Source organism: Homo sapiens, chromosome 7 (genome assembly GCF_000001405.40).
Source record: "Homo sapiens chromosome 7, GRCh38.p14 Primary Assembly".
NCBI lineage: Eukaryota > Metazoa > Chordata > Mammalia > Primates > Hominidae > Homo > Homo sapiens.
The window spans coordinates 141,518,758-141,535,190 of NC_000007.14; the positions used below are offsets into that span (position 1 = coordinate 141,518,758).

The 16,433-nt window shown below is 43.1% G+C and overlaps 1 long non-coding RNA gene across 6 annotated transcripts in view; it reads right to left on the reverse strand.

Annotated features, from left to right (window-relative positions):
- AGK-DT (AGK divergent transcript) overlaps positions 1-16,433 on the reverse strand; it is a 51,205-nt gene that overhangs the window by 18,618 nt on the left and 16,154 nt on the right. For 2 of the 6 annotated variants that reach the window (NR_183402.1, NR_183404.1), the window contains 2 exons: positions 12,316-12,486; positions 10,287-10,524 (listed from right to left, as the gene is read on the reverse strand). The exons of 2 other annotated variants lie outside the window; for them this stretch is intronic. This is a non-coding gene — a long non-coding RNA (AGK divergent transcript). The remainder of the gene's footprint in view (positions 1-10,286; positions 10,525-12,315; positions 12,487-16,433) is intronic. 2 more of the 6 variants (NR_183407.1, NR_183405.1) reach the window with 1 other exon arrangement.

Sequence of the window (16,433 nt, forward strand, 5' to 3'; positions counted from 1 at the left end):
AAAACTGAACTCCTTGACCTCTTCCCTCCCTAGAAAACTGCTCCCTCTCAGTCTTTCCCTTTTTTTTTATGGAAACATCAGTCTTCTAGTTGCTCAGTGAAATCCCATGAAGCATGTGTGATCCCTTTTTCTCCCCTGCCATTAGTAAACCTTGCCTACTCCACCCCCGGTGCTGCTACCCTGGCCTGTGCCCTTGTCATCTACCTGAGAATTTTGCAGTTGCCTCCTAACTCCCCTTTCTTCTCCCACTCTTGCTCTCTACAGTCTATTCTCCACACAGCAGCTATAGTGAGACCCCTAAAATTTACTTGGTGTGGAATCCTCCAATGTCTTCTCATCTCATTTAGAGTAAAAGCAAAACTCCTTCCCATGGTCCGCCAGGCCCACCACAGTCTGTCTGTCCACTGCCTCTCCTGTTCACCTGCTCCAGTCCAGCCAGCTGGCCCTCCTTGCTCTTCCTCTAACATCACACATGCTCTTGCCCGAGGGCTTTTGTACTTGATAGTCTCCATGCCTGGAAGGCCCTTACCCATATTCAGACCTTCACTTTCTTTGGGACTTAGCTTCAGATGGCTTCATATTAATGGGGACTTCCCTGACCACACTACCTAGAAAACGGTGGTCTCACCCGGCACGCCCTGTTTCCCTCAGCCTGCCTCTCCACGCCTTATATTGCTCATCTCCCCGACATATGGCAAATTATTAGTCTATTTATTATCCATTGCACATCCAGAAGAACATAAGATCCATGAAGCCAGAGGGTGAGGACTTTGTTTTGTTCACTGCTGTATATTCGGCACCCAGAATGCACCTGGTACATAGTAGGGGTTCAATCCATATTGTGAGTGAGATGATTGAACAAAGGTTCCGGGTCCCCCATCTCTGCCACTACCAACTCCTGAAGACTCTCTACCTTCCCATGCACCATCCTGGAAATGAACCAGCTGTGGAGGAAATCTGAACAACTGAACTTGAAACCAGAAAGAGTCTGAGTGATCTAGAAGCAAGACTATCTGTGGCCAAATAAGCTATGAAACCATACACTCAGCAAGTATTACTTTTCTTTCTCTTAGTAGTTACCCAGTGGGATGGGAGCTGCTGATGAAGAGCAGATCAGTTATGAGAAATTAAAAAGCTACATTTTCTTGGCACATCTGAGTGAACGGCGGCAACAAACATTTCTGCACATGTGAATCTGCGTGGCTCCTTGCATGAGTCCAAGGAGCACATGTGATCACCTGCCTTTGTGTGCAATGTGACAGAGGATGCATGAGACCAAATCTCTGCCTTCAAAATGCTAGGTAGCTGGGGTGCTATGATACATATTGTAGAGTTGGAGACATCCTCGTGAAAGCAAGTGGCTAGATTCGATTATACAACCACATAACCACAAAATCTTTTAACAAAATTGTCCTGGTGTGAAAATATTAGGAAGAATGCATGTTCCTCCAAACTGGGTTGTAGGAGGGACAGCTGAGTGGACCTGGCAGTGTCAGGTCTCTATTACCTGACTGAGTGGACCAGGCTTGGAGCTGGGTGTCAGAAGAGTCATGTCTAGACAGCCCCCTAACAAACAAAAGGAGACGTGACTTCTCAGAACTCACTTGTTTCCATCCCTTGGGAACCATTTCTCAGAATAACTGCTCCAAGAAAGACTTGAGAAACCATCCTATGGATTGAAAAGGATCAAGAAACCACTGTTTTCTGTACTCAAAGGGAAAGAAGGGTCCATCTGAAGTCTCTCTGGCAAGGAATCCATGTCCTGATTTGCATATACGGAGTGTGTAGGGATCTCAGCCAACAAGAGCTTTATTTCTGCTACCTAGCGTTTGTGAGACGGATGTCTAGATGTGACTGTTCTGACATGCTGTCACTGTTACCTGTCTTCTTCTACAGTGAAGGCACTGCTCTTCAACCAACAAATGTGGATTGCACACCAAGCCCGTCCCTGTTCTCCATGGCAGGACAATGCCTTCATTCAGGGAGTCACTGTTTGTAAATCTGAGCTACCCTTAACGCTTTCACATGGATGTGTGAACTGCACAGGCCAAACCTCTCTCACAAATCCCTGCCAAGGGCATCAGTACTAGGTGATTCCTGTAGTATTGATCTATGACTGACTCACAGACTACCCCAAACCTAGCCATTTAAAACAGAAAGTATCAATTACCTCAAGGTTCCTATGAGTTAGGAATCTGAGTTGGTTTAGCTGGTGCTTCTGGCTCAAGGTCTCTGGCCAGGGCTGCAGTCTTATCTGAAAGCTCAAAGGTAGAAGAGCTGCTTCACAGCCCACTCATGTGGCTGTTAGCAGGCCTCCAAAGATCTGCTTCCAAACTCATTCATGTGGGCTGCCTCCATGACATGACAGCTGGAATCCCCAGAAAGAGAAATCAGAAAGAGAGCAAGAGGCCGGGTGTGGTGGCTCATGCCTGTAATCCCGCACTTTGGGAGGCCGAGGCAGGCAGATCACTTGAGGCCAGGAGTTTGAGACCAGCCTGGCCAACATGGCAAAACCCTATCTCTACTAAAAATACAAAAAAAAAAAAAAAAAAAAAATCAGCTGGGTGTGGTTGTATAGGCCTGTAGTCCCAATTACTTGGGAGGCTGAGGCACAAGAATCACTTGAACCCAGGAGGTGGAGGTTGCAGTGAGCTGAGATCATGCCACTGCACTCCATTCAGGCTGGGTGAGAGAGTGAGACTCCATCTGAAAAAAAAAAAAAGAGAGAGAGAAAGAGAGAGCAAGAGAAAGAAATCAAGATGTAAGCCAGAGTCATTTTATAACCTTATCTTGGAAGTGACATACCGTCACTGAAGCAAGTCAAAAAGCCCAGTCCACATTCAAGGGAAGGGATTATATAAGGGTGTGAATACTAGGAGGTGGGGCCCACTGGGGCCATCGCAGAGGCTGCCTACCACATTTCCTTAATCCCAAATTTCCTTCCTGCTACCACATGGATGCTGTTTCCTGAGCCACAGCTGCTTGGACTAGGAGCAGGCTCCTGACTCAGGCACATCCAACCCGCAAGCTGGCCAGATGTGTCTTGGTATGAGAGTTAAGCCCAACAGAGGTGAAAATGATAAAGTCCAACCAATTACTTTCTCTCTCTATGTTCAATTTGATCTGAAGGTACAGCAGGTGGGAACAGTGTCACTGAACCCTATCAACAGCAGAGCATGAGAACGTGAATTCCTGCTGCTGGGGAGGCAATGAAATGATATGGGCCTTCAGATGTCTATGAATCCTGACCCACCGTGGGTGCCAGTTTTCAAGAGGGTAAGCTGTGCTACGTTTTCACCCTTTGAAACCTGCTTGTTCTGCCCTTCTCAAGTTCCCAGAAGTTATTACTGCCTGGCTGAGAGATTCCTGTTTTACTTATTTTCCCATAAAGAAACCATCTCTTAGCACTCATGCCCTAAGGAGGACTATGCCCCGCCATCAGAGGAGTCTAAGACCATGTGGCGACATCAGGTGGTATACCACAAACATGGTCAGGTCAATAAATGCATGGGTGCTCAGCAAGAAAAGATCTATCAATCAACGGGTATTTTTAAAAATAGCCACCATTTATTGAAGGTACTCATCTCAGTGCTTTACCTGAGTTATTTTATTTAATGCTCCCAATAACCCTATGACCTCTGTCTTATTATCTCTGTTTTACCAATAAAAACAGAGCCTTGGCCACGTTCAAATAGCTGATAAGAAGCAGAGTCAAGATAAGGGTCTAAGTTTTTCTTATTCTAGAGCCCATACATTAAGCCACCTTTCCAGAAACTTCCATTTCCAGGTGTGTCTCCTTCCATTTCAGGTGTGACCTTAGATATGTGTGTAGTAAATAATTTAATGTCGCCTAAAGAGAGGACTGGACTTTGCGCTTCACTCTTGAGAGGCAATTTCTAAGCTCTTGGAATGTCCCACCTGATAAAAGTTTTCCTGGGGGCTTTGGGCCACACCAGAAGGTCTAACATTGTGATGTATGGTGGGGTCTTTGAGTCATGTGGTATCAGCTTAACTTCTAAAGGGGCTGGGGACTTAGGCCAGCCACATGGGCAGTGACCATGTCTATGTGATGGAACCCAACACGGACTCTGGACACCAAGGCTTGGGGAACTTCCCTGGTTGGCAGTGCTCCATGTGTATTGTCACACACCATTACTGAGAAAGTAATGCTGGGTATATCTCTCTGGGAGAACACAACTGGAAGCTCTGTGTGTTTGGAACTTTCCTGGATTCTACCCCATGCATTTCTTTCCTTAGCTGTTTTTATTCTGTTTTCTTTCACTGTAATAAACCATAACTCTGAGTAGAACAGCTTTCAGGGAAGCTGTGAGTCCTTCTAGCAACTATCAAATCTGAAAGTGGTTTGGGAAACCCCTGGACTTGCAATTAGTGTCAGAGTCAGGGCAATTTTGTGATCTACTCCCTCACTTTGTAATGTGTCTCTTAGGCTCTCAGCCTGAGTTTCCTCATCCATGACACTGGACAAGATGATAATAATTGCTTTACTTATGTGGAGCCAGAGACAGTGTGGGTAACAAGCTCTAGAGTGGCGCAGTGCACATCCTGAGAAACCGTATGCAGCAGCCCTGGTTATCTTGCAAGTTGTAAGGACTGAATCTTTTTGACATTTACTGAGCATCTGCTCTGGAGATCCATAGATAAGTAAGACATGACACTCATCCTCAAGGGCTTATCTTATAGGGATGAGACCAATAGGAAAGAAACATTTGATAAGAAACAGTGCCACAACCATGTTATTTTTAAAAAATCTTATTGGAGCATTACAAAGATACAAAAAGTAGGCACATTTGCTTGTACGGCTCAACGAATGATCAGGAAGTGAACACATTCATGTAACCATCCATGTCAAGAAGCAGAACATGACCCAGAAGCATCCCAAAGCCCTCGTTCTCTTCCTAATCACCTTTCTTCTTCCTCCCCACATGAAGCCGCTACCTTGACTTCCAGCAGCGGGCTTGCATGTTTTTTAACTTTATATAAGCGGAGTACTACCATATGTATTCTTTTTGTGTCTGGCTTCTTGCTTAACATTATGTTTGTGAGATCCATTCAAGCTGGAGCTTGAAGCTGTGACTCATTTATTTCACTGCTGTAAAGAATTATGTTTTATGAACATACCACAATATACAATATATAAAAATCTACTCTACTCCTGATGTACATTTGGGCTTTTTCTACCTTTTGGCCAACAAAGATTATACTGCGCTAAGCAACCTCAGAGGTGTCTTTGGAAGCACATGTGTGTGCATATCTGTTGGCTACCATGGGAGGCAAAGTAATGATCCCTCAAAGATGCCTGTCTCCTAATCCCTAGAACCTGTGAATATGCTACATTTCATGGCAGAGGGAATGAAGGTAGAAGATGGAAGTAAATTTGTTAATAGCTGACCTTAAAGTAGGAAGATTATTCTGGATTATCCAGGCAGGCCCAGGGTAGCACAAGGATCCTTAAATGTGGAAGAGGGAGACAGAAGAGGAGGTCACAGTGGCGTAATGTGAGAACTCCCCTTTGCTAGCTTTGGGACCATCAGACAAGGACTGTGGCTGGGCCTCTAGGAGCTGAAATGATTAAGGAAATGGATTCTTTCATAGAGTTTCCAGATGGAACACACATTAGCTGACACCTTGATTTTAAGTCAGGAGATCCATTTCCCACTTCTGAGCTGCAGAACTGTAGGATAATATACTGGTATTCTTTTAAGTCACTAAGTTTGTGGTCATCTGTTATGGCAGTGATAGAAAATTAATATAACTGTATTCTTATAAGTAGAATAACTGAGTATGTACATGTTCATCTCTTATAGAGATTGTCAAGCAGTTTTCGATTGTGGTTGTATCAATTATACTCCCACCAGGAATGTACGAGTGTTCCCATTGCTCCACACCCTCATCAATGCTTGGTGTCATCAGTCTTTTTAATTACAGCCATTCTGTTGTGATATCTCATTTCTATTTCAATGTGTTCCTCTAATTACAAAGGCAGTGGGGTAACTTTTCATATGATTATTGGACATTTGGGTTTCCTCTTAAGTGAAGTGCTGATCAAATCTCTCGCCATGTGTGATATTGGGATATAATAAAAGATATATTTGGCCTTCATCCCCAGTTGCTGCCACAGAGCTCCTGAAACTTTTATAATTTCCTCTTGGTAAAATGTTTAATTAACTGATCTTCTTTGATATCTTTTATTCTAGTAGGGAGCATCTTTTATTCTAATATTTGGTCTTTGACCCCAGTTCCTGACACAGAGCTCCTAAATTCCTTGAAATGTTCTAGGTGATAGGAGTGTCTTTTGTCAAATCAGATGACTCTTGGTGGGTCCCTGGATGGGGGGGCTGCTCATCAGAAATATATGACACTGCCATGGTTAGACACTTGGAACTTTCAGCCCTACCCCCTATCCTCCAGGAAGGGAAGAGGGCCTGGAGATTGAGTTAATTGATTATGCTTATGTCATGAAATCTCCATAAAAATCCCTGACATATGGGGTTTGGAGAGCTTCTGGGTTGGTGAATACATCCACATGCTGGGAGGGCGGTGTACCCAAACAGCAGCCCCTGCATTCAGGACCCTTCCCCACCTCACCCTATGCACCTCTTCATCTTGCTGCTCCTCTGTCTGCTTTACTATATGGTAAACCAGCAAACATCAGTGTTTCCCTGAGTTCTGTGAGCTGTTGTAGCAAATTGTCAAACCTGAGGGGAGTTGCGGGAACCCCTGATTTGTAGCCAAGTCAGACAGAAGTGTGGGTAACCTGGGGACCCACCACTTGTGGTTGGCATCTGAGTGGAGGGCAGTCTCGTGGGCTGACCCCTTAACGTGGAGGATCTGCACTAACTCCAGGTAGGCAGTATCAGAATTGCTTGGTATGGGAAACCCACACATTTGGCGTCAGAAGTATTGACTATAGAAGGAAAAACAGCTTTTTCTTAGTACCATGCTATACCTGTTTGCTGTTGTGATAAAAGAGGAATAGACTTTAGAACATAGCTCTCTATTTATTCATAAAGCCATTCTGCATTCTCAAGTAACAAAATTAGGATTTTCTTTAATATTTTATGAGATTTTTTTCTTTTCTTACTTGTCTTTAAAATAGTATTGCAAACAGGAGCAGATTCTTCGTCTGGCTATCACAGTATGGCTGTTTTAGTGGGCTACAACATAAACCCACACATATATACACACACACACACACACACACTCACACACACACAGAGTTGCAAACATATATGGGACAGTGGAAACAAATATGAAACAGCTCTTAAAGCCACTAATGAATATTTTTAAAACAGTAGTCATAAACACTAACAGACCATTAGGATATTATTTATAGATTAATAATCTCTGCATGAGACCATTTCATTCAGAGGCTCTGTGATGAGTGTATTTGGGCTGGCCTGGGTATTGAATGATGAGATTGATATATGATTTTCTTCAGCTGATATAACTTCTAAAATAAATCATTCATACAGTTGGTGACTCATACAATCCATTTCAGTATGCTCAGCTACATGTTAGGAGATTTTTATTTAATTTAAGCATTTTCATTACTGTAGATTTTTATTGTTCACTGTTTAGTTTTAAGTCTTGGGTAATTGCTATAATAAGGTTACTAGTCAGAGACTGCAGATAAAGAACAGCAATTCAACAATTAAAAGGCAACCAACAATGCAATCTGTTGAGTTGCAAAAAAAAAAAAAAAAAAAAAAAAAAAAAAATCAGATCTGAAACTGCATGAAGATGGGCTGAAGGCCAAAACTATTAATGCAAAATATGATTATTTCCAGTGGTAAACCAATATGTGTTGGGCTCCTGTGTTACATGGGGGGTTTTGTAAGAGAATCCGAGCACCAGCATTTGGTAGGACACAATTAGACTATCTCCTCCCAGAATTCCCTTTTTAATACTTTCAGGATTTATTATACCAGGTCCTAATCCTTTCCTCTTCCTCTTTTCCTCTGTGTTTCTTCCCTTTACCGTTCCTCTTTTTTTTTTTTTTTTTTCTTGAGGTGGAGTCTTGCTCTATCACCCGGGCTGGAGTGCAGTGAGGCAATCTTGGCTCACTGCAACCTCCACCTCCCAGATTCAAGCGATTCTCCTGCCTCACCCTCCCAAGTAGCTGGGACTACAGGTATGCACCACCACACCTGGCTAATTTTTTTTTGTATTTTTAGTAGAGACGGGGTTTCACCATATTGGCCAAACTGGTCTCAAACTCCTGACCTCGTGATCTGCTTGCCTCGGCCTCCCAAAGTGCTGGGATTACAGGTGTGAGCCACCATGCCCAGCCTACAATTCCTCTTTCTGTGTGTCTTTCCATGCTCAGAAAAAGTAAGTCTTGAGGGCAAGGACCTAGTCTTCTTTGCATATCTTTCTAAGTATCTTTGGAAATTGTCTGTTCACCTCTGCTTCCCTCAGCCTAGTTCAAGCCACAATTTCTCACATTGCCTCCTGTGGACTCCTGGTCATTCTACAGCCTTCCTTACTCCTCCCCATCCCTCTTCAACCCCATCTTAGAAAGCCTCCACCCAGCGGCCAGACTGATCTTACACAAATTCGATGGAATCATTCCTGTACTTAAAATGGCTTCTCATTACTCCAAACTCTTCCACATCTCCTGAAGGTCTTTCCGGGTCAGCCTCCAGCCTGCCTCACCAGCGTCTTCTAGAATCTTTCTCCTTCTTGCTTTGAGTTCTCCCTTTCAGATCCTAGAACATACTGTGCTCCTTTCCACCTCAGGGCCTTTGCACACACTGCTCCCCTGAGTTGTGAAGGCTTTCTGTGTGATACCAGCCCATTGGGTCTCAACTTAAGCATCACTTCCCCAGACCAGCCCTCCAATAATCCCAGCCTTGGTCAAGTTGTGTTAAAGTTTGTTCTCAGAGCAAACAACCCTTATTTGTCCTTTCCAGGACTTACCACAATTGTGAAATTTTAACTGTATAATTCATTCATTCCTTCAACTTTCTCTAGCACTTAATATGTGCCCAACACCAAATATATACTGATGAACAAGACAGACATGTCCCCAAAGACCTTATAGTCTGGGCAGGATGGGGCATAGGGCATGGAAGGGGGAGCAGCTGATACTAACACATAAATATATATTGCAAATTATAGTAAGTACTTAAAGGAAAGAACAGAGTGCCATGAGAGACAAGTGCAGGAGCCCCTACTGTAGACTAAGGAGTTAGGAAAGATCTCTCCAAGGGGATGAGTTTCAAGTTAAGATCCAAGGCAGAGAAGGAGCCAGCCATGGAAATGCCTTCACATGTGCTGTTCCCTCTGCTGGGACAGGGAATTAGGTGGGAAAGAGTTTGGCATGTTTGAAAAGAAGGAAAGAAGCCAGGATGATTGGAATGCAGTAAGTGACAGGGAGAGTAACCCATGGCAAAGCTGGAGAGTAGGCAGGGGCTAGATTGCATAGGGGCTTGTGGCTTAGGATTTAAGAGACTACTGTAAGGGCATTGGGAAGGTTTTTTTTAAAGATTTTAAGCAGGGTAGCTATGATGCAACTCCTTAAGTGGAGAATAGACTGTTGGAGGCAAATGTGAAGGCGGGAATTGCAACGGGGCTATTTCCAAAAACTTCCAGAAGGGAAGTGTAATCCCTTGGACTAGCATGGTGGTGATGGAAATAGGGGATAAACTGGTTAGGGAGGCAAATCTAGAACTTAGTTTTGAACATGCTGGTTTGAGATGTGTGTGAGACACCCAACTAGATGTGTTCAGCAGCCAGTCATACAAGCTGGAGTGAAAGATGAGGTGTCGGCTAGAGATGTAGTAGAATCTCATCTGACTTCAGTGTTAATTTGTAAAGTCAGCATGTAAGGCCAAAGAATAAACAATTAAAAATCATCCTTCAAAAACCCTTAGAGCTGTGGACCTGAGTCTTTGGAAACTCAAAAGATAGGAGTTAACTTGTTTTTCTCCCTGATGTGTGGCCACAACTTCTCCCATCTCCCCTCCTCTCCAACAGTATCTTTTCCGGTTTAAGCGAAGTCAAAGTCTGGTTTGTAGAAATGGAAATATGGAAAAAGTAGGGTTGGCTTTTTTTTTTGTCAAGTGACTAGAGTTGAATCACTTTTCATCTAATGTAGCTTTACTGTATTACTTGGGAATCATCAGCAAACAGATGGTTTTTAAATTATGGAGATGGATAAGTTCACTTAGGGCAAGAGATGAGAGCTGTGCTAGTTTCCCAGGGCCATCATAACAAAGTACCAAACCTGGGGGGCTTAAAACAACAGAAGTTCATTCTCTCACCATTTTAGAGGCCAGAAGTCAGGAATCAAGGTATCTGCAAGGCCAGGCTCCCTCTGATACCTGCACAGGAGAATACTCGCCCCCATCAAGCCTCTGGTGTTTGCTGGCAGTGCTTGGCATCCCTCAGCTGATCGATGCGTCAGTCCCACTTCTGCCTCCATGGTCAGCAGGCATCCTCCCCTCGTGTGTCTGTGTCTCCATGTGGTATTCTCCTGCCCATGTGTCTTTCTCCCTGCCTCTTAAAAAGACACCAGTCGGATCAGATTAAGAGCTCACCTTACTCCTTATATGACCTCATCTTAAATAATTGTAGCTGCAGAGACCCTATTTCCAAATAAACAAGGCAGTGGGGGTTAGGACTTCAATGGGTCTTTTTGGGGAACACAACTCAATGTGTAACAAGGGTGCACGGCTCTCTCTCAGCAATAGCAATGGTAGAAGTCTGGTGGGCTGGGCAAGGTGAAAGAAATAGCAGCTCATCTGGGCTGTCATTTTCATCTGGGCTGTGCTCCCCATTAGAACATCTAACTTCCCCCTCAGAATGTCACAGACTCCATGCAAACGAGGCTGTATCTTTCCTGTTCCCTACTGTTCCTCAAAACTGTGGGTAACAAATGTGAAAATAAGTTACCTTTGATAGGCTGGGCATGGTGGCTCACGCCTGTAATCCTAGCACTTTGGGAGACTGAGGCAGGTGGATCACTTGAGGTCAGGAGTTTGAGACCAGCCTGGCCAACATGGTGAAACCCTGTCTCTACTAAAAATACAAAAATTAGGCAGGCCCGTTGTGGCAGGTGCCTGTAATCCTAGCTACTCGGGATCCTGAGGCAGGAGAATCACGTGAACCTGGGAGGCAGAGGTTGCAGTGAGCCAAGATCATGCCATTGAACTCCAGCCTGGGCAACAGAACAAGACTCCATCTCAAAAAAAAAAAAAAAAAGTTACCTTTGCTATGACTTTCTAAACCACAGTCTATTTCTCATAGGAAAAGTTCCACTTTCCAGAGACATTTCACCAGTAATCTCTTCACTTTCTAGATTGGTCTTCCCCTTTCAGGCCACATCTCTACTTACTTAAGTTTCATCCACCTTCCTGAGGCTGGCCAGAACATACCGCAATAGAGACAGCCACCACATAAGAATCACAGTCAGACGACACTTCCATTGCATCCGCTTTGCCCTGGTCATTATATGGACATTCCCAATCTACTTCAGTCCTTTCCAAAATGTGTCTTTCCGGATTACACATTCCTTGCTGTAGTTTTTGTGAACTGCTCGCCAACCTCAAAGTGCAAACATGACCACAATCTCTTTTATTTTTCTATTCAATTGCACAAGGGGCCAAATGACTAATTTGCTGAAAGCAGGTGCCTGTGTTGGGAACTTTCATTCCCCTCGTCCACCATGTTGAGGAATTCTGGAGGTTTATACAGCCTCCAGAGGAGTCAGGATGGTCTCCATAACCCCCCCAAAAGAGAAAATTAGGGTCTCCAGTCTTCTATTGCTATTGATTCTCAGTATCACGAGGTGTCACTGTTGAAAACTTGTTCTATGCAGTCTCAGAGCTAACAATGATTTACCCTGGGATGATGCCTTCTAGAAGGCCCAGATCCCATCACAAGCCACTGTGGTTTTCTTAAGGGAACAATCCCACATTCTCAGTACAGGGTTATATAAAATTGTCCCTAGCCTCTTCTAGCTGGTCTCTCTGCTTTCATTCCTGCTATAATGGATTATCCTAAAAGTGTAGAGGAAGCTAAAATCCCAAAAGACACTGGAGGAAAGAATGGGTGGTAGTGTTGGGAGAAGAAAGTACATTGAAGATGCTGTTTTCTGCATGAGATCCTTGCATTAAATCATGTCAGCCTTAGTGTGAAGTCTTGAGTTATACTTTATGTTGTATACCTCTATCAAATTGAGCTCACCTAAAACCCTAGGAAAGACACAGAATAGTCACTGGAGAGTGTAGGGGACTGATAACATTTCCCCTGCTTGCAAGTGTTTAGAATATAGAGAAAAGAGCTCTGGACCTGGAACCAGAAGACCTGGGTTCAAGTCATTGCCTTGCTGTTTATTAGCTGTGTGGCCTCCAGAAGTCACTTGATTTCTTTGACCTCGATGACCAATCTGTGAACTCAGGGCAATTCTAGTCTTTTCCATTTACGATGTTCTTGTGAGAATCAAATGGAGTAATCTGAAAACTGTAAAGCACCATGTAAATATGAGGCTTTTCTTCTCAGGCTTTTCATTTTTTTTTTTTTTTTTTTTTTGAGACGGAGTCTCACACTGTCACCCAGGCTGGAGTGCAGTGGCACCATCTCGGCTCACTGAACCCTCCGCCTCCAGGTTCAAACAATTCTCCTGCCTCAGCCTCCCAAGTAGCTGGAATTACAGGTGCCTACCACCACACCCAGGTAATTTTTTGTATTTTTAGTAGAGATGGGTTTCACCATGTTGGTCAGGCTGGCCTCGAACTCCTGACCTCAGGTGATCCACCCGCCTCGGCCTCCCAAAGTGCTGGGATTACAGGTGTGAGCCACTGCGCCCAGCCCCTCTCAGGCATTTGTAAAAATTAATCGACTTTTCTAGTTTACAGAAAAATTAAGCAGAAAGTAGAGTCCCCATATATTCTCTACTTCATCCCGTTTCCCCTATTATTAACTCCTTGCAACAATTTGTTACAATTGAAGAGCCAATATTGCTATATCATTATTAATTAACAACCATAGTCTACATTAGGGTTTATTCTTTGTGTTGTACATTCTGTGGGTTTTGGCAAATGTATGACACGTATCCACCACTATGGTATTACACAGAATAGTTTCACTGCCCCACAAATCCCCTGTGTTCTGCCTATTTATCTCCTCCTCTCTCCCCCTGAACCTCTGGCAACCTCTGATCATTTTACTGTCTCCATAGCCTTGTCTTTCCCAGAACATCATATAGTTGGAATCATACAGTATGTAGCCTTTTCAGATTGGCTTCCTTTACTTGGCAATATGCATTTAAGTTTCCTCCATGTCTTGTCTTGTCTTTTTTTCTTTTTTTTTTTTTTTTTGAGATGGAGTCTCACTCTGTCACCCAGGCTGCAACCTCCGCTTCCTGGGTTCAAGCATTTCTTCTGCCTCAGCCTCCCAAGTAGCTGGGATTACAGGTGCACACCACCACACCTGGCTAATTTTTGTATTTTTAGTAGAAATGGGGATTTCACCATGTTGGCCAGGCTGGTCTTGAACTCCTGACCTCAAGTGATCTGCGTGTCTCAGCCTCCCAAAGTGCTGGGATTACAGGCATGAGCCACAGCACCCAGTCACCTCCATGTCTTTTAATTGATAGGTTGATAGCTCATTTCTTTTCATTGCTGAGTAATATTCCAATTTATAAGTGTATTCCCAACAGACTTTTTACTTAAAAAAAAATGACCAAAGACTACATTGCCTTAGAGTTCAATTAAAATAGTATCAAGAGCTATGCGAAAGAGAAAAAAAAAGGTGAAGAATGGAAGATGGATATGGGAGGATGGACGGAGGCTATAGGCCCTCATGCAGATGTTGTGTTTTGGAGGAGGGAGGGATTCTGGGCTGGTTGTAAATATAAGAAACACAATATATCCACTCTATCCCATCCTTGAAATACAGCTTAGCTGCCAGCAGCCTGATCCCCTAAGTGCAGAGCCTGAGCAGTCACCCTAATGCACCGTACCTGGGTTCGGTACTAATGGCAGATCGAGAAAGAAATGCTAAAGTTATGTGTCTCTCAAACCACAGCACTACTAGCTGTATGCCTGATCCATAAGAGCATGCAATAGGCTGGGTGTGGTGGCTCACGCCTGTAATCCTAGCACTTTGGGAGGCCGAGGCAGGCAGATCACCTGAGGTCAAGAGTTCGAGACCAGCCTGGCCAACATGGTGAAACCCTGTCTCTACTAAAAATCCAAAATTAGCTGGGCGTGATGGCGCGTGCCTGTAATCCCAGCTATCCAGGAGGCTGAAGCAGTGAACCTGGGAGGCGAAGGTTGCAGTGAGCCGAGATCGCACCATTGCACTCCAGCCTGGGTGACGACAGCGAAACTCCGTCTCAAAAAAAAAAAAAAAAAAAAAAAAAAAAAAAAAAAAAAAAAAAAAAAAAGCATGCAGTAGATGCTTGAATGAATGGTTGAAGAAGCACAGGATAGGCCGCCAGACTTGGGGACTGAGGGAAGGTGGAGGGAGGAGGCAGAAAGTGAGGGTCATTAATGATCTTTTCATAAGGCCTTTGAGAGACTATTGCCAGGCCCCAGACCCCCTTTACAAACTGCTGAGCACTGCAGGGGGACTATTTGCGTCAGACTCAAGCCAAGACATCTCCAAGATCCCTGACAATAAAGCAAACACTAGGCTGGCGCTGGCTAATAGAGGAACCCAGAGGGAAAAACGCTTTTCTGTTTATGGACAATTCTCCTTCTACAGCCGGATCTTCAGCGCCACCTAGTGGTGTGCTCTTCAGGCTGGCTGCACTACCAAAGCAACCGACTAAGATTCAAATGCCTTGGTTTAAAGCTGCAAGGATTAAAACTTTCCTCTTAAGGTCTAAGATAAGAGACTATGTGGGCATAATGAGCAAATTGAGAGCTTTAGGATTCACATCAGAGAATTCTAAGTCACAAAACTTAATCTCAGCAATTACATACACAGTTAGTAGTAGGATTTTGTAGTTGCCCATACCGTTTTGCAGTTTTGGACATTGAGTAGTTTTGGACAATGAGGCCAAGATCAAAAGTTAAAGCCGTGCAAAGGAAATGCAGCACCAAGAAGGGAAAAAGAGAATCTGATCCAGCCCCTGCCGCCAGGCAGGGGAAGTGTTATTTCCATTTCATATTTAAAGCAAGTAAAACCCTACGAAATGTCCAAGGTCAAATGTCCAATATATGAGGCAAGAACTTGAATTGTGTGGAGTGTGCCTTTTCTTTTGCTATGCTGCTTCAAAGTACCCCTTTTCTTTCAATATTTGCTTTGTTTTGCTACAATTGCACTGATATTCTCCTACCAATGGATCAATAAGCTTCATTTCTATTCTAAACTCACAAACTACAGTGTTCCCCTAAAGGCTTGGGTCATTCTGTCTGTCTCATGCAGGAACTAGAATTCCCTAGAATGTTCATAATGTGAATGGCAATTCATGTGTTATATATACATTAAATATCTTATGTATAATGTTAACTCATATTCCTTTTACTTGTTAACTGACCTTAAATTAGGTCAGTTTCTATATGTAATACTGTAAATATTAATTAGATTGCAGTTAATTTGTTGATAATTCATGGTGATTATATTAGTTATACAATTCACAATGAAATTTTAAAATCTGCCTTTTCTTTAAGAGAATGTGGTTTGGAATTAAATGGAGAACTTACATTTATTCAGCATCAGATATTGACTAGGTGATTTTACATATACTAATTTAATCTTTATGATTAACACTATGAGGTAAGTCAAATAATTATCTTTATATAGATGAAGAAAGAAAGACAGAAATTGTAAATAACCACCCCTAGATAGACACTAAACAGAAGAGCTGGAAATTGAAAGTGGACTTTCTGTCTTGAAGTCAAGTAGTATTTCTACCAGACCTCTTGAATCCACTAGACTCGAAGTCCAGAAGTCTGAGTTTTATTTCCAACTTAAATACCACATACAATGCTGTGTACTATAATATCCTTTTGAAAATTCACTATGCTCATTTGTATATCCACAGTCCTATTGAATTCTAATATAAACATACATGTTTAGCAACACTCATGGAATTATTGTTCTTTCTCGGGGTTTTTTTTTTTGAGTGTGTACGTATATCTATTAACTCTCCTCTGAAATAGTGCTCTATAAAGCACACAGTGATTAGTGCTGGTCTGGAAGATAATATGCTGGAGAGCCTGATTGGAGCGATCTGGACTAGAGAGATAGCTGTGAACTGAATGAGGATTCAGTCTTCCAAAATAGTCCTTGGGCACACTTGCCAAAAACAGCTCACAGCATAATTTTGTTTTAAAATACTTGTTTGTAACCTTGCTTGTTTAAGAAAGAATTAATGTAGGAGAACAGGATTTCAGTGGCATAATGGTTATCACCAGGGCTCTCAATGAGAATGTAAAACGTATCTATGGCCTCCTCTC